Source organism: Homo sapiens, chromosome 3 (genome assembly GCF_000001405.40).
Source record: "Homo sapiens chromosome 3, GRCh38.p14 Primary Assembly".
Taxonomy (NCBI): Eukaryota; Metazoa; Chordata; class Mammalia; order Primates; family Hominidae; genus Homo; species Homo sapiens.
This window is the reverse complement of record NC_000003.12, coordinates 33,462,747-33,464,332: the sequence shown is the minus strand read 5'-3', so window position 1 is coordinate 33,464,332 and position 1,586 is coordinate 33,462,747. Positions and strand designations below refer to the sequence as shown.

At 41.4% G+C, this 1,586-nt stretch overlaps 1 annotated feature.

Annotated features, from left to right (window-relative positions):
• Nucleotides 747-1,300: an enhancer, noted in NCBI's record as "NANOG hESC enhancer chr3:33504525-33505078 (GRCh37/hg19 assembly coordinates)". NCBI's record gives its function as "activates a minimal SCP1, AML or CMV promoter by ChIP-STARR-seq in naive H9 embryonic stem cells {active_cell/tissue: H9 hESC(naive)}" and the evidence as "EXISTENCE:reporter gene assay evidence [ECO:0000049][PMID:30033119]".

Below are 1,586 nucleotides of genomic sequence, written 5' to 3'. Positions count from 1 at the left end.
TGTAATCCCAGCTATTCAGGAGGCTGAGGCAAGGAGAACTGCTCAAACCCGGGAGGTGGAGGTTGCAGTGAGCCGAGATTGTGCCACTGCACTTCCGCCTGGGCAACAGAGCGAGACTCCATCTCAAAAAAAAAAAAAAAGATAAAATATTTTTATCTTTTTTAAAGGTTAAAAAGATAAAAAAGCTGAGGCTGAGGCGCAATGGCTCACACCTCTAATCCCAGCAGTTTGGGAGACCAAGGCGGGCAGATCACCTGAGGTCAGGAGTTCAGGACCAGCCTGGCTAACATGGTGAAACCCTGTTTTCACTAAAAGTACAAAAAATTAGCCAGACGTGTGATGCACGCTTGTAATCCCAGCTACTCGGGAGGCTGAGGCAAGAGAATCATGTCAGGCCTCTGAGCCCAAGCTAAGCCATCATATCCCCAGTCACCGCACATATACATCCAGATGGCCTGAAGCAACTGAAGATCCACAGAAGTGAAAATAGCCTTAACTGATGACATTCTACCATTGTGATTTGTTTCTGCCCCACCCTAACTGATCAATGAACTTTGTAATCTCCCCCACCCTTAAGAAGGTTCTTTATAATCTCCCCCATCCTTAAGAAGTTTCTTTATAATTCTCCCCACCCTTGAGAATGTACTTTGTGAGATCCACCCCCTGCCCCCAAAACATTGCTCTTAACTCCACCGCCTATCCCAAAACCTATAAGAACCAATGATAATCCCACCACCCTTTGCTGACTCCTTTTTCAGACTCAGCTCGCCTGCACCCAGGTGAAATAAACAGCCATGTTGCTCACACAAAGCCTGTTTGGTGGTCTCTTCACACGGACACATGAGACAAATCACTTGAACCCAGGAAGCGGAGGTTTCAATGAGCCAAGATTGCACCATCGCACCATTGCACTCCAGCTTGGGCAACAAGAGTGAAACTCTTCTCGAAAAACAAACAAACAAACAAAAGGTTCTTTTGAAGTCTTATAGTGGCTGCTGGTTAGAGATAATAGATGACAAATTATTTCCTATTTAGATCTTTAAAAGGTGCTAGACTTTTAGTTAATTTCTTTAGGATTGGGAGGGCCTGGAATAAAAGATCTAGCTATGTTAATAGAGATTCTTTACAGATGCAAAATTTCCCCCACAAAGCACAGCTTTGCAGGGCCATTTCACGATATAGCAAAGAAACATGTTTTGGGTAAAATATTTTGATTTTCTTCCTTGTCTCATAATGTTATGCCAGAGTCAGGTTGGAAAGCAAGTAACAATATATACAGTCAAATAAAACCCATCTGATGAGAATTTATTATTTGTAGGGCATGACTCCCCAGACTCATTAGATAGGAATTTGGGCAAGATAAAAAAAATCAGAGTTTAGTCCTCAAAAGGATTTTCTTAAAAAGTGCTTAGCTTAATTAAAAGTGGATATCCAAGCTATAGGTACATTTAAAAGGGCTTTATGTTTTTCTCTTTCTGGATCTTGTTTTTCTAGAAAAAGTTTTTTTTTCTTCTCAGTCGATTGAATTCTTTTTCTCCATTTTGTCTTGGCACTCTTAATGCATGCATGAGAGGCCCTAAGTTATA